General features: G+C 49.9%; 1 protein-coding gene across 2 annotated transcripts in view, besides 6 other annotated features; it reads left to right on the top strand.

The window, feature by feature from the left end:
* HIVEP3 (HIVEP zinc finger 3) overlaps positions 1–20,219 on the top strand; it is a 529,570-nt gene that overhangs the window by 319,316 nt on the left and 190,035 nt on the right. The window contains exon 2 of one of the 2 annotated variants that reach the window (NM_024503.5): positions 15,624–15,703. The exons of the other annotated variant lie outside the window; for it this stretch is intronic. The gene's annotated coding sequence lies outside the window, so the exon portion shown is untranslated. The remainder of the gene's footprint in view (positions 1–15,623; positions 15,704–20,219) is intronic. 2 annotated transcript variants of the gene reach the window in all.
* Positions 16,805–16,874: a silencer, noted in NCBI's record as "silent region_753". NCBI's record gives its function as "represses an Ori minimal core promoter by ATAC-STARR-seq in GM12878 lymphoblastoid cells {active_cell/tissue: GM12878}" and the evidence as "EXISTENCE:reporter gene assay evidence [ECO:0000049][PMID:35858748]".
* Positions 16,885–16,944: a silencer, noted in NCBI's record as "silent region_752". NCBI's record gives its function as "represses an Ori minimal core promoter by ATAC-STARR-seq in GM12878 lymphoblastoid cells {active_cell/tissue: GM12878}" and the evidence as "EXISTENCE:reporter gene assay evidence [ECO:0000049][PMID:35858748]".
* Positions 17,185–17,234: an enhancer, noted in NCBI's record as "active region_875". NCBI's record gives its function as "activates an Ori minimal core promoter by ATAC-STARR-seq in GM12878 lymphoblastoid cells {active_cell/tissue: GM12878}" and the evidence as "EXISTENCE:reporter gene assay evidence [ECO:0000049][PMID:35858748]".
* Positions 17,255–17,304: an enhancer, noted in NCBI's record as "active region_874". NCBI's record gives its function as "activates an Ori minimal core promoter by ATAC-STARR-seq in GM12878 lymphoblastoid cells {active_cell/tissue: GM12878}" and the evidence as "EXISTENCE:reporter gene assay evidence [ECO:0000049][PMID:35858748]".
* Positions 17,325–17,544: an enhancer, noted in NCBI's record as "active region_873". NCBI's record gives its function as "activates an Ori minimal core promoter by ATAC-STARR-seq in GM12878 lymphoblastoid cells {active_cell/tissue: GM12878}" and the evidence as "EXISTENCE:reporter gene assay evidence [ECO:0000049][PMID:35858748]".
* Positions 17,625–17,704: an enhancer, noted in NCBI's record as "active region_872". NCBI's record gives its function as "activates an Ori minimal core promoter by ATAC-STARR-seq in GM12878 lymphoblastoid cells {active_cell/tissue: GM12878}" and the evidence as "EXISTENCE:reporter gene assay evidence [ECO:0000049][PMID:35858748]".

Raw genomic sequence — 20,219 nt, 5'->3', positions numbered from 1 at the left:
GCATGCTGTCTGTCCAGAGGGCCCTCCCACTGCTCCTCCTACAAGAAGCCCTTTGTGGCCACACCCACTCATGAGATCTCACCCTCATCGGGGCCCCCCAGCTCTTCTGGACTCTTCCACTTCTAGGGGATGCTCAGGAATCTAGATGTAGCTCCTTCTGTACATGGTGGGTGCCCCCAGCCTGTGGGAAGTGCTGATAGGTGGTGATGGGGGGAGAGCTTGGGTGGGGCAGCAAACTCTCTCCATCCTGTGATGATAAATGAGGTAATGGACATGGCCACGCCTTGTAAACTGTAAAGCACTGTCCTACCTTGGCCCAGCCCCCTTATCTCTGGCTGGGACTTTTGCCCAGCATCCCCATGGGCCTCCCTGCCTCTGGGTTCACCCAGCCCAGCCAGCCTCCCTATCGAGCCTCACCCAGCTCTGATCATTTCCCTTCTTCCTGCCCACCTTGCTGGTAGGTTCTGGCCTCAGAGGCTAAGACTTGCCCTCAGCAAGCCCTCCCTGTGCTCCCTGCACCCTGCCCGGCCTTTGCTGCTTTCCTCCACATGGAGTGTGCTTCTGTCACCCTGCCGTTCTCCTGCTTCAAGGACTACCTCAAACTCTTCCTTCAGATTTCCCTGCCCACTCCAGGCATGATCGGTTGCTCGGGGCCCCACCGTCCACTTCCATGTGAAGGCACCTCTCACTGTGTCTCATTCCCTGTGTATATGTGCAAGTTCCTCTGTGGCTTTCGGTTTGGGCCTGACATAGAGAAATGCTAAGGTGAAGGTTTCTCCTGGCAGACAGGGCTGCCTGCTGAGGATATTATAGGCATGAAGCCTGGTGTTTGATAAACTTCAGTTTATTGAGGCCCAACCATAGTCCTAAGGGTCACTCTCATTTTCCCTATGGTAGCACCAAGATGCTGAGGGCCTGGCTTGAGGTCACATGGTAGCATGCAGCAAAGCCGGCCTGGGGACCCCAGTCTGATTTCAAAACTCTCCTTCATATTGCATGACCATGACACAGTAAAAATACCAGGCCTCTTTCTAATCCTTGGCTGTCAATAAACTGCCTTGGGGATTTTGTCTTTTTGCCACCCAGTTCTTCCCATGGTTCCCATGGGTGCTGCCATCACAGCCCTGACAAACAGTTGGCTGGTGCGTGAGGACCCCCAGTCCCCATCCATCTTCCCACCCTCCCCAGGCTTGCCGTGGGTCCCCTTCAGGTCGCCTGGGCCCAGGCTGAAGACTCAGGCTGGACCTGGCATGTCTCACCAGGACACGTCAGGGAGTAGGGCAGCCCCATGCCCAGATCTGCCAAGCCGCCTCCTATCTCTGACATCCATGCTGCAGATCAATAAATCTGTCTCCTGCTCTTCTCTCCTGACCATCTGTTTTCCCTGGTGGTCCCCAGGGAGTCTGCCAGGCTGGCTGAAAGCTCCCAGGTCGGAGAGAAGAAGCTATTTGGGGGCCATCTGTTTGAGAGGTGCCTCCGGCTGGGGTTCCGCAGCTGAAGGAAGCAGCCCAGGCAGTGGGGGGCTGCCAGGAGGGGACAGCAGTTAGGGAGCTGAGAGCCTTCGTTATCTTTAGGCTCAGGGCCAGGGTGTGCCAGCTCCCCCGATGCCAGCAGACCAGTGAGATGCCAGGCCTGGCTGCACCTTGGACATGTCGCTGGGGCAGATGGTGCCGGAGGGAGTGGGGAAGACAGTCTGAACCTCAACACCTCCCCCCAGAAAACTCCTTTTAAAACACATACACACACACACCCTTAAAATTGGGTTGCCAGTGACAACCTGGCATATCATCTTCTTTTTATATTATTCTTAGCCCCTCTGTTACCATAGCAACTGAACAATGCTTTTAAATATAGCAGTTAATTTTTTCAGCTTCAGCAACAAAGTTTTGGTGCTGTCCAGAAGGCCAGTGGCTGGTTTCTCTCCCAGGGGCCAAGCCCTTCAGACTCATCTCTCCCCATGTCAGCCCCAGAGTGTGAGCTGGGGCCAGGTGTCCTGAGGCCAGCAGGGACCCTCTGTGTCCCCTGACCTGGCTACCCTCTAAAGTCAAGGTGTAGTAGAAAGAACCCGTGTTCTGGAATCAGCAAACATGGATCCAAATCCCATCCCCTCATCCCCCCTGCTGTCCTTGAAATCTTTGCTTTTCCTCTTGGAGCATTAATTTCTTTATCCAGTCATTAGAGGTGACAGTATCTGCCTCATAGATTTCAGTGAGTCTTAAATGAGCTAAAGGAGGCGAAGGTGGCATGGTACCCATGGGAAACACTCAATAAATGCATCTTTGCCTCTTTTCCTGTCTTCTTCCCGTCCTCCACTTCTTCTCCTCTTTTCTCCCTTTCCATCCCCACCTCCCTCTCTCTTTTGCCTTTTTCCCATCCCTTGCTCCCCACTGCCTTGAATTATTGATGTTAAATTCCCAGCCAGTAACATCAGAGGGTTAAAATCCATAACCAGCCTTCTTCCAGCCTCCCCTCGGATCACCCTCCCTCCCTGAGCTGGTGAGCTCATCGGAGTCATAAATCATACATCAGGGCTTGAGAACCCGGGCCCCTGTAGTCCAGCTGCTGAGCAGCCCTGGGCAGGAGGCAGTCTTCTGGAAGGGCTGGCAGGTTCTGAAGCCATGAGCAGATGAGGCACCATTATCAGGAGCTTCTCTTGGAAGGGGAGCTGACAGCCTGTGGCCCACTGACCAGCAGCATTGTTTCGGGGGGCTCTCAGCTCCCTGCCACCCTCCCACCATCATCCTGCAGCTCTCTCCAGCCCCTCCCCCAGGCTTGCTCATCACCCACTCATTTCCCTGCATTCCAGAGCTCAGCATGGCAGGTCTTAAAACAATAGAAAGCCAAGTTTCTAATGCTCAGAAGCAGTCAAAACATGGCATGGGCTGCCCAGCAGGTAGTGAGTTCCCTGTCACTGGAGAGTTCAAGTAGAGGCCGAACATCCAGGGGGCTGGATGTTGTGGGAAGAACTGTAGTACCAGGTTACAAATTTAATAGACTCTTGTCTCCACCTATGATTCCATAATGGAAACAATAATGTTAAAATCACCATATAATTTTGCAGAACCTTGGGGTATTTGGTGATTATCCTCATTTACATAAAAAGTTAACTTGCCCAGGGTCATTTAGCTGATAAAGAGGCTGACTGTGAATCCAGAGCTCTACATGCCCCATTATTCTCCAAGTTAAACTTTCGTGGCTGAAAGCTACTTGGAAGAACATTTATTGAGCAGCGACTGCATGTGACTCTCTGAGCTGAGCCCCAGGCAGGAGGCTCAGGGACTTGCAGAAGCCAGAGACTGCTCTCTGAGAGTTGGCAGTCCTATTCAGGGACAAAGAGCAGACCCAGAAAGAGAAAACAAGTGCTTTCAGGGCAGTGGGAGCTCAGAAGAGGGAGTGATGCTCTGGGCTGGGGCGCAGATCGGGGGTGGGAGGACACTGCAAGAGGGGAAGGTGTCCGTGCCTACCAAGCCTGCTGCAGGCCATAGGCTCCTGGGGGCCTTTTATTTCTTACTTTATTTAATCCTCCCAGGGGCTCTGTGAGAATGGCCCAGCATCCAGTTTTGACAAATGCTCTGCTGAACTTGTCAAGGTCACACATCTCAGAAGTGGAAGGACCACGTGTGTCTGACACCAAGACTTCCACATCGGTGGGAGGTGGCAGAGGGAAGGACAAGCCTGCCCCGCTGTGTCAGGAGGCCAAGGATCTCCTGTCAGGCTCCACTGCCTGAGGCCAGCATGGGCAACTGGCCAGGAAGGAGGTGATGGCTGAAAAGGCCTGGTGGCTTTGGCCTCCAGCCTGGGAGGGCACCAGTTTGTTGCTTCTCCCCAGGGAGGATGGAGGGAGGAACGGTGTCTATGAAGGGAGGGGCTGCCGGGCCATGCAGGGGACCAGCTCTGGCCTGTGATACAAGAGACCTGGGACAGGTTGTGGCTCTGTTTCTGGTTTTCTGAGACCCCTGAGGCAGGTCAGCTCAGGACGCTGGTTTCCCTCTTCACTCAGAAGGGCAGAGCCTTTATTGTCCTGCGCATCTCATGTGCTAAAGTTAATTTGTCACTGTTAGCATCGGCCCTGACCATCTGCCTAAACCATCGGCCAGCCACAGGTGCCCAGTGTCCCCTTACCCTGCTTTGTTTTCCTTTTCGGTGCTTACACACCCTGATGTTACATTCTCTACCTCTTCATTTATACTACTGCCTTTCTCTGCCAGGAGACTGGAAACCCCACAGAGGCAGGGCCTGGCCTTCGTCCAGGGCTGTGTCTCCAGCACCTGAGCAGTGCCTGGTGCGCACAAGCAGTGGGCGCATCTTTACGGAATGAATGGTGCATGCGACTAGGGCGGCATGCCTCCTTCATATCACCATGGCCCTGTTCCTGCTTCTCCTGCCACTTGTCGCAGGGCACTGTAACTGCATGTGTCGAATCTGTCTCTGCTTCACGCAGTGAAATGCTGAGGCAGAGCACGGAGCACAGCCTGGAGCAGGTGCTTGATGAGTACTTGTTGAAGCAGTAGAATAAAGTGCTCTCCTCCCCGGACCTCAGTTTCCCCATTTGTACACTGAGAGGGTAATCATCCTAGAGGCTTGTTAGCCACCCTCCCTCAGTGACATTCTGGGATTAGCGACCTGCTGGCTGGCGTTTCTGCACCTGCACCTTGGTGTGTTTGCTGCCCTGTTTGCCACCCCAATGCATGTCCTGACCTCCAAGGTTGGTCACCGCCCAGAGCCTGCCTTCCCTTTTATGAGCAATTAAAACCCCAGAATAGCCCATTGTTTAGAGTCAGGTGCCTGGACCCTGTATTTATCTCCAGTGTGCCGAGTGTGCTCGGGCCCCTGCCAGCCACGTGGTGGGCATCGTTGGAACCACTCGGGCCGCTCAACACAGAGAGCCTGTCTCTGGCATCGGGAGACAGCCAGCTCCAAGGGGTAGCAGGAAGGACGAGGAGAAGGCATAAAAGGGAACCAGCTTTTACCGAAAGCCGGGCATTTGACAAATGCTTTTCATATGTCTTCACAAAGGCTATGCAGGATCGGTGTTATCAACCCCATTTTATTGCTTGGAAGTCTAAGGCTCAAAGAGATCACCTTCCCATGGAACTTCCTCAAACTTGCAGAGCTTCTAAGGGACAGAGCTGGGATCTGAACACAGGACTGTCTGGCCCCAAAGCCCAGGCTTTTTCACCGTGCTCCTTAGTGTCTGCTGGGTGGTGGTGGTGCTCGGCCACCATCAGCCCATGAAGCTATAGCCCAGCAACTGCCAGTGAGCGAGCTGGAGAGGGAACCAGTAGACGCCATGGATGCTGCCATGGGCTCTGCATTTGCAAATCACCAGCCTTGATTTCTGGCCTCTTCCTGGCCTCCCCGTACCCTCTGCCTGTTCTTCTGGGTCCTGTCAAATCTCACCCCTCTCTGAAGGAGATATCATGGCCAGGCATAGGCCTGGGGCTACTAATTGAGAGAAGCCAGGAACTTGTGACCAATAGTGCGCAAAGGGAAGGGAGGGCACTAGAAGGCCAGCCCGGTGGGTGGCAGTGGGGACTGCAGTCTAGGCCCGCAGCAGAGCGGAGAGTCCAGAGAAAAGGGCTGACTCAGGGACATCTTCGAGGCACTACCGCTTACCAGCCAAGCAACCTTCAGCAAGCTGGTTGATTTCTCCGGTCTTCAGCTTCCTTATCTGTAAAGTGAGAGTAGCGATGGTGACTATACGATAAGGCCCTCTTTGGGGAGTCAGTGGAGTAATCCATGTCAAATTCTTAGCTGAGAACCTAGCAGGAATCAGGTCCTTAAGAAGCTATGATCAGCCGCCATCCTATGGTGACCACTGCTGCACGGCCACAGGGATTGGGGAGTCAGGCTTGGGGTGTGAGGCCACGGCAGGACACAGCACCAGTGCCCAGGAATAAGGTGGGTGCTTGGCCTTGGGAACGAGACAGACACATAGTTTCTAGACACAGGACACAGTATTAGGGCAGGGAAGCCTGGGCGGGGGCTCTTTAGATGCGCCTCATTGTGAGAGGGAGGACTGGGCTGAGAGCAAGGAGTAGGACTGTGCTGGCCAGTTGGCGCAGGGGACCAGCCATTGGAAGAGAAGAGATGGGGGAGAGGATAGTCAGACCCTCACTGAGGGCTTAGAGTTAGAGCCATTCCATAAGGCTCTGAAGAATTCATTGACCACTTCACATGTGCTTGTCCTTTTGAAGCAAAGCCATGGGATGTCAGAGCTGGCGCGACCTTAGAAATGGTGTTGGCTGCCCTGGGTCACACAGCAGGATGACAGAACACCCTTGCTCTTCTCTGTGCTTCTGTTTTCCTTTTGGTCACATGAAGAGGGTACACTTTTAGAATCTTTCTAGCCCTGCAGATGACCCCCAGGGACTATTTTGGGGTTTTGCTCCATGCTAGGAGAGGGGAGGTGGGAGCTCTGAAGAGGCAGAGTGTGCAGATGAGAAATGTGGCAGGAGGAAGTGACAAATCCCCTGGCTGATGCACGAAGAATGGGATGGAGGGCAGAGTGCTGGACCAACACTCTGCCTTGAACTTGAGTAGAGCTCTCTTCGGGCATTAGGGTTGCTTGCATGTTGACTCAGATTGGCACAGCTAGAAACTTCCCTAGGGCTTTCTCAGCTGCTGGTGGAAGTGGGTTCTTAACCGAAAGTCCCTACCTCCCCCTGCCCCACTCCAGACACGTCCCTCCAAAATGCCTATTCATCACCTGAGCTGAACCTGGCTAAAGCCAGCAGAATCTTAGTTCCCAGTGGGCCAGCAGAAGCTGCAATTGACCCCATTGCCCTGAACTCTGCATCTGGCATTCCTATGGATGGCAGTGGAGGGCGGGGGTTACTGAGCTGCACCCTCGCCTAAACTTTGCCGTGTCAGTGACTCAGCATAACTGGATTTGCCTCTTTCTGCCTCAATTTCCCTGCCTAAGACTCCAATTATCTACAAAGCCAGAGCCCCACATGAACTCCAGTCCTCAGTGAGCCCCTGACTGGCGATCACCATTCCACCCAAACCCCACTTGGGGCTTGGTTCTGTTCTCCATGTCCTCAAGCTATAGGCTGGTTTCCTGCCCTAAACAAGGAAGATCGTCAGGAAATGACACTGCCTTTCTTCTGACCTCAGAGATTGCTACTGCCTGGAGGCTGCCTCTGTCCCACCCGTGAATGGCCCTGCTTGGATCCACCACAGGTCTGCCCCACTCACTGGATGCTCCTTTCTCTGGGCTTCCACCTGACATGACCCGGATGCAGCTGTCCTGGCCTGCTGCTGGGGTGCCCATTCCCAGGTTTAAAGCTCGCTTGGCTGTTAGGAGGCTTTGGGCTGCAGGTAACAGAAAGCTAACTACAAGGGACTTACACAATAGGGGTTTCACTCCAAAGAGTGGAGGTAGGAGTGGTTCAAAAGCTGAAAAACGTACAGCCCAGAAATCCAGAATCCAGGCATGTTCCAGCTTCCCCGTTGGCCAGCCTCACCTCCATAGCTGCAGTGTCATGACCCAAGGCCATGGGTAGCTGGCACAGTCCAGGGCCATATGCCATGTGGTGGTAGGGGGTGCAGAAGAGGAACATCTTCCCCAGATTCTCTTTTTATTAGCAAAGAAACTCTTTCCCAGAACCCCTGAGAAAGGCTTCCCTTAACTCTAAAATGGGAGTAATTTACCCCGCTGACCAGAACTGAGTCATATGAGCCAATCACTGGAAAATGGAATGGAGTTTCATTCAGTTCTGAGCTCACCCCAATAAAAGCAGCCTCCAACAGCAGAGAAGACATGGGGGATGACATGGCTACTAGGTTGCTTCTAGTACTTGACTTGAAGTTTTCTTGTTTGCAGTTTTGGTGCCAGAGCTCCTGGTCATAGCTTTTTGTGCCAAAGGAAGCCATTTGACTTGTTCCTCTCAGAAACCATTAGGGCTCTTCAGTGTAAGCAACAGAAGCTGACTTGAGATAACTTAAGCAAAGAGGGAATATATCAGAAGGATAATGAGAATCTTACGGAATTGACAGGAAGGCTGAAGAAGCAGACTCAGAAAAGGATCCAGGGCCCCTCCAGGGACCAGAAAACAGGAACTAATCAGAAGTGGTCTTGTCATGGCCACAGAGATGGAAGAATGAGCTCGCAGAGTCAGGGCCTGGCAAAGAGCATCTGAGATGCCTGGCTTAGGCTCATGCCCTCCCCTTGGTTGTGAGAAAGCAGGAAGCCCTGATTTACTGTCCACCAAGACCAGGAGAGCTGATTTCCCCAAATGAAATCAGAATGCTATTGCCAAAGTGGGGAGAAGGGGTGCCAAGTGGGCAAAAGTCAACAAATGCCCACCACGGTAGCACATGATGCTTGACCCAGAGACAGAGCAGAGATTGACTGGCATGCCTTCCCATGTGGAGGTAAACGATGTACAATCTCAACTGCATGGGGCTGGTCACTCAGAGCAGAAGGTACATGAAGCACTCTCTCAGGTCCCCACAAAGGTAGTCCCTCCCTAATGTCACCCTGATAGGGCAGAGGATTCTATCGAATCCTTCTAGAGGCTCCCTGTGCACTCACCTGGGGGATGGCCCCTCCTGGCATCTCCCAGTCACTCTAGAAATTCTAACAAGTCTTCTGCTCATCAGCTACAGGAAACTGGTGTCAGCCCCGGAACATCCCTGAATCTTTCTTCAAGCCCACATGAATTGAAGGTCAAACCCCAGGCTTACTGACTCCTGACAGGCCAGGGTTCGGCTTGGCCAGGTCTATTGCTGCAGATAGCAAACCGTTATTGAGCATGTATTCATTAGGGCAGGTAAGGTGCTAAGCACTTGGCATGCAGTAAATCATTTTATTCTTCCCACAACTCTATCATATATGGCTTTCATTTTCCTTTTCTACAGATGAGGAAACTGAGGTTTAGAAAGAGTCAGTAACTTTCTCATGGGCACAGCTAATAAGTAGCAGAGCAGGATTCAAATCTGACCCAAGATCCCCCTCTTAGTGACTTCACTGTACCATCTACACCCAACTCCCAATAGGCTTCTTGTTCTTCCCTCTTGGAATGAAAATGGATCAAAAACCTTGGTTCACACATTTGTCCTCTAGGCATATCCACCCGCCAGAGACCCTCCTCACCCTTCCCAGTACGGGGACTTGGGCCTCAGCCTTGGCCCTTTAAGAGACTTTGAAACTGCTCCAGAACTGCCATCCGAGAGAGGGTAAGTCCTTTCTTGCCCCACCCAAGGCCCTCCATGGAAGCATAATCATAAGTCGCACTTTTTAATTTTCACAACGAAATCTTGTCATTGCCCTCGTGGTAGTTCTGGTTTCTAGAGGACATGGTTCTGCCTTCTGTGGGTAGCAGAGTATCCTCTGCTTCTCCTGCCAGTGCCCTCGACTTGGCAAAAGACCAGGGATGCAGCAGGTGCCCTGGGGATGGTCTAATGTAGCAGTTCACCAGCTGGGCTCTAAGAAGCCCCAGAGGTCCTGCAGAACCCCTTCAAGGGGCAGCCCCGGGGGAGCTGAGGGGAGCAGCATGAAATATACCCAGCACAGCTTCCACCAGAGTACCCTGCCTTTATCTGTCTTACATGCTGATCTGCAATTTAAGGGTTATTTTCAAAGAAAATATTCTCTGGCTAAAACTCACTGGTCAGCTAGATATGATGATGCTTTTTTCTAGAAGATTCTGCAATATTTTATTTGAACTGAACTCCTATATCACCCTGACCACTGAGTGAATTGCCTTTATAGAACGATAGCTTAACATTCTTTCTTTGACATTGTTAGAGGACCAATAACCAGGACTTGCTGTCTATGTGGGCAACACCTCAGAACATCGGCGGAACAGTAGAGAAAGTTGTCCATTGTGTTGCTCAGAAACTCCTTGAAACAAAGACCCTGGTGACTAATTCCTCTCCAAAATCTGGGCCAGGAGAGTTTGACTTTCCTGGTTTCCTGGTCCCCTCCTACTGCCAGACAATTAAAACCCATCTTCACTCTTTACTGTGGCCACTAATACGCCCAGAGCATATTCAGCTAGTTATCTCTCTTTTTAAAATACATGTATTCCAGCCTGGCACGGTGGCTTACGCCTGTAATCCCAGCACTTTGGAAGGCCAAGGTGGGTGGATCACCTGAGGTCAGGAGTTCAAGGCCAGCCTGGCCAACATGCTGAAACCCCGCTTCTACTAAAAATACAAAAATTAGCGAGGTGTGGTGGTGCACACATGTAATCCCAGCTATTAGGGAGGCTGAGGCAGGAAAATTTCTTGAACCTGGGAGGCAGAGGTTGCAGTGAACTGAGATCACACTTCAGCTTGAACAACAGAGCAAGACTCCGTCTCAAAAAAAATAAGTAAATAAATAAAAATAAAACACATGTATTCGGACACAACGATGAGAACAATAAACACTGGGAATCCTAAAAGGGGACAGGGAGGAAAGGGGGTAAGGGTTGAAAAACTACCTATAGTGTACTATGTTCACACTTGGGCAATGAGATCATTTGAAGCCCAAACCTCAGCATCACAAAATATACCCATGTAACAAACTTGCACATGTACCCTGATTTGTCCTGCAGGCTGTCAACCTCTGATATAGCTGTACCCTAGTTTTCAATGGTAGGTTAACCCTTTCCATGTGTTTGCATGGTTGTGTCCCAATAAAACTTTATTTACAAAAACAGGCTACCAGTTGGATTTGTACTGCAGGCTATCAACCCTTGATATAGCTGTACCCTAGTTTTCAATGGTGTGTTAGCCCTTTCCCTGTGTTAGCACTTAGATTTGCTGTCGGTATTCAATGCCTCAGTATTAGAAGTAAGACTGCATGGAACTTGCTTAGAATTTTTTTTCTTAGACTGTCTTTCTGGGAATTGGGATGACTACACCCAGAAGTGTGGATATTTGTGAGGCAAAGTTCTTGATGCACGCTCTGAAGTTGCCTTTCAAAAGCATTCTGTCTATTTTCACTACCAGCAGCGATGTGAGAGCACCCATTTCCTCACACCCTGTGAGCGCCGGGCAGTGTCCTTCAAAACATTTGCTTCCAGCACCCCCTGCTCTTTTACATCTGGATTTTGCTTTTGTCCAGTGTTTTGAGCCTCGGTCTGCACTTTTGTTCCTTAACCTTCCTCACATCCTTTTTGGAAGTAGGCAAGATACAAGCAAACATGTTTCTGGGTTTTATAGGTCTGTCATCCTGGGGTCAAGTTCAGGGAGTGGAAGGAGCCAGGGAGAAGCAGAGTCCTGAAGATCCAGTGTGGATGGCACAGGCTGGTAGGGCTGACAGCTGTCCTTCTCTGCTGGATGGAGAACACCCTCTGCCAGGGATACTGATGGAACTTCCAGAGGCTGCATCATTGCAGGCCAGGCCAGGGTGGGGAGATGAGAGCGTAGAGAAAGAAACATGGTGGGAAGGGAAAGAAGTGAGTTTTGGCATCACATGGGCATAGGCGTCCATCCAGGCTCCGTGAGTGAGCCTGGACACGTTCTCTTGCCTCTTTGAATTACCCATTTTGTCCTCTGTAAAGGGCATAAAAAGGTCAACTGCACAGGATTGTCATGAGGGTTCAATGTGATCCTTTATACCAGAACCTCGCACAGTGCCTGGGCACATAGAAGGACTTGATGTCTTTGTTAAATTGAATTGCCTTGCATACTGGTATCTTAGGAGCAGTGGGAAATTGATAATACAGATATTTTTAAAAACAGTCTATGGAGCCAGTGCCCACCATAAGGTAGGCTCTAAAATAATAATTGATGGATGAATGAATGCATGGAACTTTGAAGTCAAACAGCTCCAGCTTTGTCATTTATTAGTTCTATGATCTTGACAATGCCTTTCCCTCTCTATGGTTCAGCTTCCTTTTCTGCAAAATGGGTCTAGTGTACAAGGATATTGACATGTGCTCATAGTTAAGGAAACAGACATGGGCAGCTGAATGGTTTGCCCAGGGTCTCATGGCTGGTATGTGGCAAGATTCAAGTGCCCACTGCAGACTCATTGTGAAGTCTAAACGAGGCAAAGAATTAAAGCTTCTGGCTCAATGGATGTTAGCTCCTTCCCATAAGCAGGACAGGCTGCCAGCCTTGGGGTCTTAGTGGGAGAAACAGAGTAAAGGAAGGGTCTGTAGCCACCACAGGGACTGGGACTGACTCAGAGGCAGCTGCATACAGGCTGCTAGTTGCTGGCACTGGCGCTTGCAAGGAATTCTCTAAGCTGATTCTCTGGAGACCACCTTTCCCAGGAGCCCATTTCCTAAGCAGCTGTCTCGCCTCCACAGAGCCCAGTTCATGCTGAAGCCAAATAGAGAATGTGCCTTTTCATAGCAGCCTTTTGGCCTAGAAGGTGGAGCCTGGGCTATGCAAATGAGTCCATCCCTGGTGAAGGCCCCCAAATCCCATGTGAGGGAGAAAGCGGTGGAAGCGATGCTTAGCACAGAACAAGTTGGCCCATAGGATGAGCTGCTGTTGATCCTGTAAGCTCATTGTTACTGTGGCTGTGGACTGGGCCCAGGTGCAGGAAGCTTCACCTCCTGCATATGACATTTAATCCACCCAACATCCCTTCAAGGTAGGTGTGAGTATTCCCATTTTACAGATGAGGGTACTGAGGCAAGTACAGGAGGTAAGTATACAACTAGTGAGTGACAGAACAAGAGTGAGGACTTGAATTTAAGTGTCTGACTCTAAAACCTGTGTTCCTAACCATGAGTCACATTTACTGCCAGTTGGTGGACAGGCCTTTGAATCCTGGAATCACGAATCTCCTCCCGCCTAGATCTGTGAGCAAGGAACTGGGGGACTCCAGCTTCTTTGGGGCCAGAGCTTCAGCTATTCTTTTGCCTTGCTCAATAATACTTAAGCATAGATATTTAATAATACTTAAAGCATAGATACTTACTTCTTTACAGAAAGTATTTTATCCATTCAACAATCCAATAAATATTTATTAGGGATTTTTTATGTGTTGGGTCTTATGCTAGGTGCAGGAGATACGTCACAAATAATAATACAAATAATAATTACAACTAACCCTTACTATGCACCAGGTACTGTTCTAGGGATTGTACACGGATTGGATCACTTAATCCTCACAACAACCCTATAGATAGCTATTATTATCCTTTTTTTATAGAGGAAGAAATTGAAGCACAGAGAGGTTAAGTAATTTGCCCAAGGTCCCACAGCTATTAAGTATCAGAATCAGGATTCGGACGCATGCAGTCTGGGATCAGAGTTCATACATTTACCTGCCCCCACACTGTTAGGGCTCTCATAGTCTCTGCCCTTATGGAATTTAGAGTCTTTCTTTTCCAACAGTCATGTTAAAATAACACCAAAAATAATTTAATTCAGTTTTATTTGCTGAGAAGCAAACTGGACAATGAGAATCAAGAATGAATGATCCTGGATTTGGAAAGTGCCAGCAGGAAGGAGTCAAGATCATGAGCAGAGCCTTGGTCCGTTTCCCACTGTGGCCTTGACAGCTGTATGTCCTTTGTCAAGCCTTGTCACCTCTCTGGGCCTTCATCTATTTACAGAATGGATTGTCAGTAATGTACCTATTCTATCTTCTTCTCAAAATTTTCGTGGAGACTAAATGAGGTAGCAGATGGAAACGAGATTTCACAATAGGAAAAAGCACCGGGCAAGGGTTTGTTAGTCAACCAAAGTGAAAATTGGGTGTCAGTGTGATGAATAAACGAATGAATGAATGAATGGTCCTAGCAGTCCTGCAGCCTGGCTCCATGGGTGACAAAAAACTCCCTTCAGGACATCTGTTGGGGTTTTTCAGGGTCCTGACAAGGCTCTTTACCCTTGACCATGCCCTTTGAGTTATTTTGCACTTGATTTGTGTGAACCTCCAAGACTGTTTTAGCAATCATTTATTAATATCTGCTGGGAGACCGGCCTTGTGCTAGACTCTGTGGGGAGACAGAAATGAATTTTCAATGGACTATGCCCCTAGGGGCTCACAGGCCAGGAGGAGAAATTGTATTAATACTAATGTTAATAATAATAACAATAACATGAATAATAATGACCTGCAATATCTGAGCATTTACCACATGACAGATATTGTGTTGAGGTTTTATGTACATCAGTTCATTTAGTCATTACAATTCAATGAATTACTAAAAATACAGTTCCCATTTTACATACAGGGAAACAAATTCAGAGAGGTTAAATAACTTACCTAAGTTCACGCAACTCTGAAATTACAGAGCTGGGCATGAACCAAAGAAAGAAAATGTGGATACAAATAACTCTATTATAAGGTATTTTAAGTGTGGATACAAATAACTCTATTATAAGGTAGAAACTACTGTATACCCTAGTAGAGGGACAAGGAAAGGCTTCTCAAGGTTCAGTAAGAGAAGGGAAGCAAGATGGTGGTGGTGCTGCTGCTGCTGCTGTTGTTGATAGTAATGATGTTGATGTTGGTGGGGATGATGGTGATGATGATAATCCTCGGGTGCCCATTTGTTGAGCTTCTGCTTGGTGCCAGGCCCTTACCTGGATGCTTTCTACTATCTCATTTACTCCTCGTAACAACTTTCCAATGTCAGGATTACATCTCCATCTTACTCTTGAGGACTCAGAGCTGGAAGAAGACCAGATGGCCTCCCTAAGGGCACACATCCAGTGTTACCTGGGCTTAAGCTTAAGTGTACCTCACTGCAGAGCTGGAGCTCCTTCTTGAACCAGGATCCCTAATCTTTGAGCCAGAGGGCTGGGCATCTCAGAGATGCTCCATAAATGTCTGTTGAATGAATGAATATTGAATGAATGGATCCCCAAGGGCTCAAAGCCTTAAGCCTAGAAGACATAAATAATATGTCTCAAATGAGTATGTGTCCAACCTTAATTTAAATATATGTAGTGGTGCTATAATTACTAAAATACAAGTTAATTGTAAAGCATTAGTTCATTGTAACTTTTGTATTGTTTATTTTCTCAATGAGAAGATAATAGGTATACAGTTACCATCAGGAGTTTGGAGAAATAATTTCATACAAAGAGAGGTCCTTGTACCGAAAATGGTAGAAACATTCTGCCATCCTGCACAGCTTAACCAAAGTGCTTTGCCCAGCACCTGGCACAGAGGTCACTTGGAGAAGGGAGGCAACCCACCAGCCTGTGGCATTTGTCCTGGGTCTACACACGCCTTTCTTACTGGATCTAGGCTGTCACACTCAGAGACTTCATCTCTATGAGGACCTGATACCAACACCTAACAATTTCCCAAATGGCTGTTGAATGCTTGCATGAATGAATGAATAATGAAAGCAAGAATGAGTGAATTACAATGAGCAGTGCTTAGGGAACCCACAAAGGGTGTTTTCCCCGAGGAGTGTTTGGAAGTGGGAGTTCCTCCAGCCTTAGGCCTGAGTACAGGACCAGCATACCTGTGGGGTTCCTCAGGGCAGACAACTTGTGACTTGCAGCTCTGTACTGGGGTTTTGAGGCTGTGGTTTCATCCGCAGGGACCTGATCTTGACCTCGTCATAACCATGTTAGAGAAGGGGTAGTGGCCGGGGCTTTGCTTTCAGCAAGGCTGTGCTCACCATTTTTGGGTGCCTTTTTCAAACTCAGATGAAAGTTGACAGATGGCGGTGGCATAATATTCTCACTTTCTCTACTTCCCACAGGCCTCCCTCCAACACAGTTCTCCAAGCTCTAGAAATCTCTGACACATCTTGACCATGAGACCACGGCTGGTTTTTGGCAGGTGAGCCCTCCCCATCCCCCACAGGACACAGGGCAGTTTCAGCACAGCCCAAAGGCCATTAGGCTGTGTTTTGAGGCCAGGAGGTAGACAGGAATGACCTTAGCCTCGGGCAGGAGAATGGAGCCCCACACGCTACCGACACTTTAGGAAAAAGCCACCCAAATGTCACGAGTCCTGCAGCTGGCATTTCTGCAAATGGCAGCATATGGTGATGGGAGAGTCCTGGGCCAGGAGCCAAGGGAAATGCTTCTGACCCCAGGCCTGCCTTTATTGCTCAGGAAAATCTTAAGCAAGCATCTCCTTTCTGGGTCTCTGTTTCCTTGTCTGCAAAGTGAGGGAGTGGGACTCGGTGAACCCAGCAGGGCTCAAGCCAAGGCCCTGGGCTCTGGGGAGGACAGTGGGGCTGACACTGCAGCTGTGTACCACATCCTTAGAACTCAGTCTCCTGTTTGATTGCTCCATGGACTTTACAGCCACAGAGATCCTGGACTGAGCTGTGTGTTCACCTTATATGTGTACGTGTGCATTTTGGGGAGGGGGCCTGTATTTCTCCTAGTAAATGCTGCTGGAAGTCAAACTCAGATGCAATCACCAGCCCCATGCCTGCCCTCTCATGACCTCGTCATCAGGACATCATTTATTGCCTGTTGTGCTCTATCCTCTGTGCTGGGCACTGAGGCACAGAGATGAACAAATCATGGCATTATCCTCAAGAAGCTTCTGCTCCAGTGGAGGAGATCGATGTGCAAATAGCCACAGAACAGCAAAACCTGTGAAGGCAGGAGGGCTCTATTCTGTCGGGGTTTGGTTGTGGGGGTAGTTCAAGGAAGACAATTTAAAGTTGACGCTTGAACTGGGCTTTGAAGGATGAATAGAAGTTCACCGGGTGAAAAATGGAAGAAGAGCATTCTGAGCCCAAGGGACAGCAAGTGGAGCAGTGGAGTCGCTGGGATGCAGGGCCCAAGAGGAGGAGTATGGGAGTGAGGCCAAGAGAGCGGCAGGACTCTGGTCACCCAGGAGCTCAGGCTGGGTCCTACACAAGCAGGGAAGGGAGACAGTCAGCCCTGTGGTTCTGAGAGAGGCCCCTACCGGGGTGTGGGAGGGTGGGGAGGAAAGTGGTGGGGAGGCCGAGATGAGAGGAGGTGCACATGTCAGAATCTACAGAACCTCAATAGGGGCCCAGGGCAGGACACCCCGTGCTGAAGTGTCTGTGGCCTCGGCTCTCACAGACTCCAGCATCCCTCTGCATCCTTTCAGGTCCCCGGGGCCCCATCCTGCGTTGGGCTGCCACTCCAGCCACAGGACTGCTTCTCTTCTGCTCTTCCAGTTCCCACTCACTCTCCTCCTTTCCTACCCCTGAAGGACAATAGGCCACCCCCTCCTGGGCAGCAATTCTGTAAGGATTCAATGCTGTTCCCAAGGCCCCTGAAGCCTTCTTCTTGATAGCAAGGTTGTACTAGAGTGATTTCTGTGTGGTGGGTAATAGCTGGCAATTCTATGGTTTTACAGTTTCCTCCGTTGGTAGAACTCAGAACACTTTCACACACCTGTCGTCTCACAGGAGTGTAGAATGAGTAGGTTCTGGGGCCAAAGAGAGCCTTGCTCCAACCCTGCCCTGCCCCTCCTTTGAGGAGCGGTGGAACCATCAGAGCCTCAGGAAGGCCTCTCTGTATAGAACACCCACCTCCTGCAGCGGTGCCAGAGTCAAACGCAAGAGCTCAAGCGAGAGGCCAGCACGGTATGCACCACGTGCTCAGCACTTACTTTCGGGGCTTCCCTGCTGACTCAGCCCTGCGATGGAGTGAGTGGCAACTGATGGGCAGGGCTGGCCTAGAGCCACCTGTGAGTTTTGGGTTCAGAAGGTGGTGTGATCAGTCAGCGTGCGTGCCTTAATGGGAGGTCAGGCCAGCGGGCTTGACTTTCCTCTGAAAAATGAGCTCAGCAGAGCTTTCCTGACACCCCTCTGATCCTGGCATTGGTGGACACTGGGGGCCCAAACAAGAGCAAGTTTGCCCCTTCTCCAGAAGGGACACATAGACAAAGGAACAGCCACACACTGAGAGCAGGAGCAGCCCCACAGGCCCAGGGCAGAAACAAGAGAAGACCAGGAGAGAGGGAGCTACATTCAGTGGGGGCTGTGGCTAGCAGAAGCATTGTGGGGGGTGGGGCCAGGAGCACTGGCACCCGAAGGATCCATGGGAGTTCTTAGATCAGCAGTGGGGTCATGGGGCCCCAGTGGAGAAAGGCATGGCACGGGAAACACCAGGATGTGTTGGGGTGTCAGTAGTTGGTGTTTTCGATGTCCTGCCCAGCAGAACTCCCTGTCACAGAGAAGCATTCATGGAAGCTTAGCACACAGCTCCCTCATCAACTTGGTTCTCATCGGAAAGATCACACCCAGGGTCAGACCCCACAGTTCAAGGGCAACATGGATGAGCTACATGATAAGGCCAGATAGACAACCTCTAATGCCTCTAAGACTTTTCTCGACTGGAATTGAAGGCACACATTACCTGCAAATGCTGACATAAACCTGGTGATGTTATAACATCTGTGCTGGGTGCTGGGATGGAGATGAATAAACTTAGTCTCTACCCAGGTAGAGACAAGGAGGGAACAGGTCCTCAGACACCTGTACTGCATGCCCATCAGTGCTCTCATGGAGGGGTGTTCAAAGTGCTATGGGACCATAGAGGAGGTACCAGCCAGAGGACAAAAGTAGGGTGGGCATCATAAGGAGGGAATCTGCACCAGAGGGTAATGATGAGAATGTTTATAGCAACTGAGGTTTATTGAGCACTTACTACATGCCAGGCACTGTTCTCTAAGAGCTTTACACAGATGTACACTCCACCTGCACTAGTCTGTGAGGCAGGTGCTCTTTTCATCCTCTTTTACAGATGACAACTGACGCACAGAGAGACTGTGACTGGCCCAAACACACAGGGCTGTGAAGTGGCTTAGCCAGGGTGAGCCTAGACAGTCTGGCCCCAGAGTCTATGCTTGAATGACCCTGGGTAGCCTTTCTCTGAGCACTAGAGGCACCTACAGGGTTGATACTATGTCTTTTGCTCTAGCACCTAGCAGGCCCTCAATTAAAATGTGTTCACCAATAAGAATGCACAAATGCCTGGATGAACTGGGCCCTGGAAGACTGAGGGCAGCATGTGGGGATAGAGATGGCACTCATGCAGAGGGAAGAGCTGGAGCAAAGGCCTCAGATCAGGGCATCTGGCGTTGCAGAGGGGTGCTGCCCCTCCCAAAGCACTGGAAGACTGAGAGTTTAGACAGCAGCCTCTCCAGCCAACTCGCTCTCCCTCACCCTGTCCCAAAGGCCTGACACCTGCCAGCCAGTCCCACCTTGGGATTTGCTGTGCCTTTTGTGCCCCCACATCATGATTTGTTACCCATCCTCTCAAAGGTTCCCATGGGTAGCTCTGGGAAGATGACCATGAGCCCCGCAGAGCTAAGAAAGGCGTGCACGTGGAGGGGCTCAGGAAATAATTCAAAACTCACTCCCTTAAGGAGTTGCTTTCTGAATGTTTGAGACTTCAAGGAGCAGGGTGTTTTTGTTGTTGTTTTGTTCTGTTCTTTTTTCAAAGGCCTTTCCTTTCTTGAAGCTCAGTGCGCTGTGGGTGGAAAGCTAGGGTTGGGATTTGGCTCTATGGCTTCCGAGCTGGTCATCTTTGAGTGAATCAGTTCACTTCTCTGTACCTCGGTTTCCATCTCCATCAAGTGGGAATAAAACCAGCTACAGAATTAAGTGGGGCAAGGCTTGGGGAAACTCCAGTGCAACAGCAGCCTCAGTGAAAATCTGCCTCTCTGCTTCCTGCTTTGTTCCTGGGGCCTCCGTCTCTTCTGTGCAACGCGGGGTTGGAGAATGTTGATCTTTAATACCAGCCAGCCGTATAAATGTATTCACACACACAAATATACCACATGTCAAAGCATATGCCATTTAATCATTTTATATATTTCATAGGAATATATAACATAGCATCTTATTGTGTATTCTTCTGATTACAAAAGTAATACATATGTATTGAGAAAATTTTGGAAAGTAGAGGAAAAAAAATTCACCTACTATTCCACATCCGTGACTGGGCTATTTAGTGAATTCCTCTTCCACCTTTTTTTCTATGCAGTTACGCAGATTTTTTTTTTTAAATTAGGATTATACTCTACATTCTATTTTTTAACTCAAGCTGGGCTATTGAACCAGGCTGCTGCACAGGGCCGTCTGTCTCTGTGCTTGGGAGGAACAAGAGGCAGCAGCTGCCACAGCTGTTTGGTGCCCATCTGCCACGCTCCTGCCCGGGTGGCTGCTTGGAGGCATCTGACCTTCAGATGTTCAGTGTGTCTGGCGGGTGCACATCTGACAGTAATTTTAGCTTGGCCTCTCAGGCCCGCTGGCCTTGGGGCCTGCACATAATGGGCACCTTATGTAGACAGCTGCCAACGGTGCAGGAAGAAGCATCCCACCTTAAAATGTGCCTCGTCACCCGCCAGCACTGTG

Source organism: Homo sapiens, chromosome 1 (genome assembly GCF_000001405.40).
Source record: "Homo sapiens chromosome 1, GRCh38.p14 Primary Assembly".
Lineage (NCBI taxonomy): Eukaryota > Metazoa > Chordata > Mammalia > Primates > Hominidae > Homo > Homo sapiens.
The sequence above is the reverse complement of the archived record's forward strand: the minus strand, read 5'-3'. Positions and strand labels throughout refer to the sequence as shown.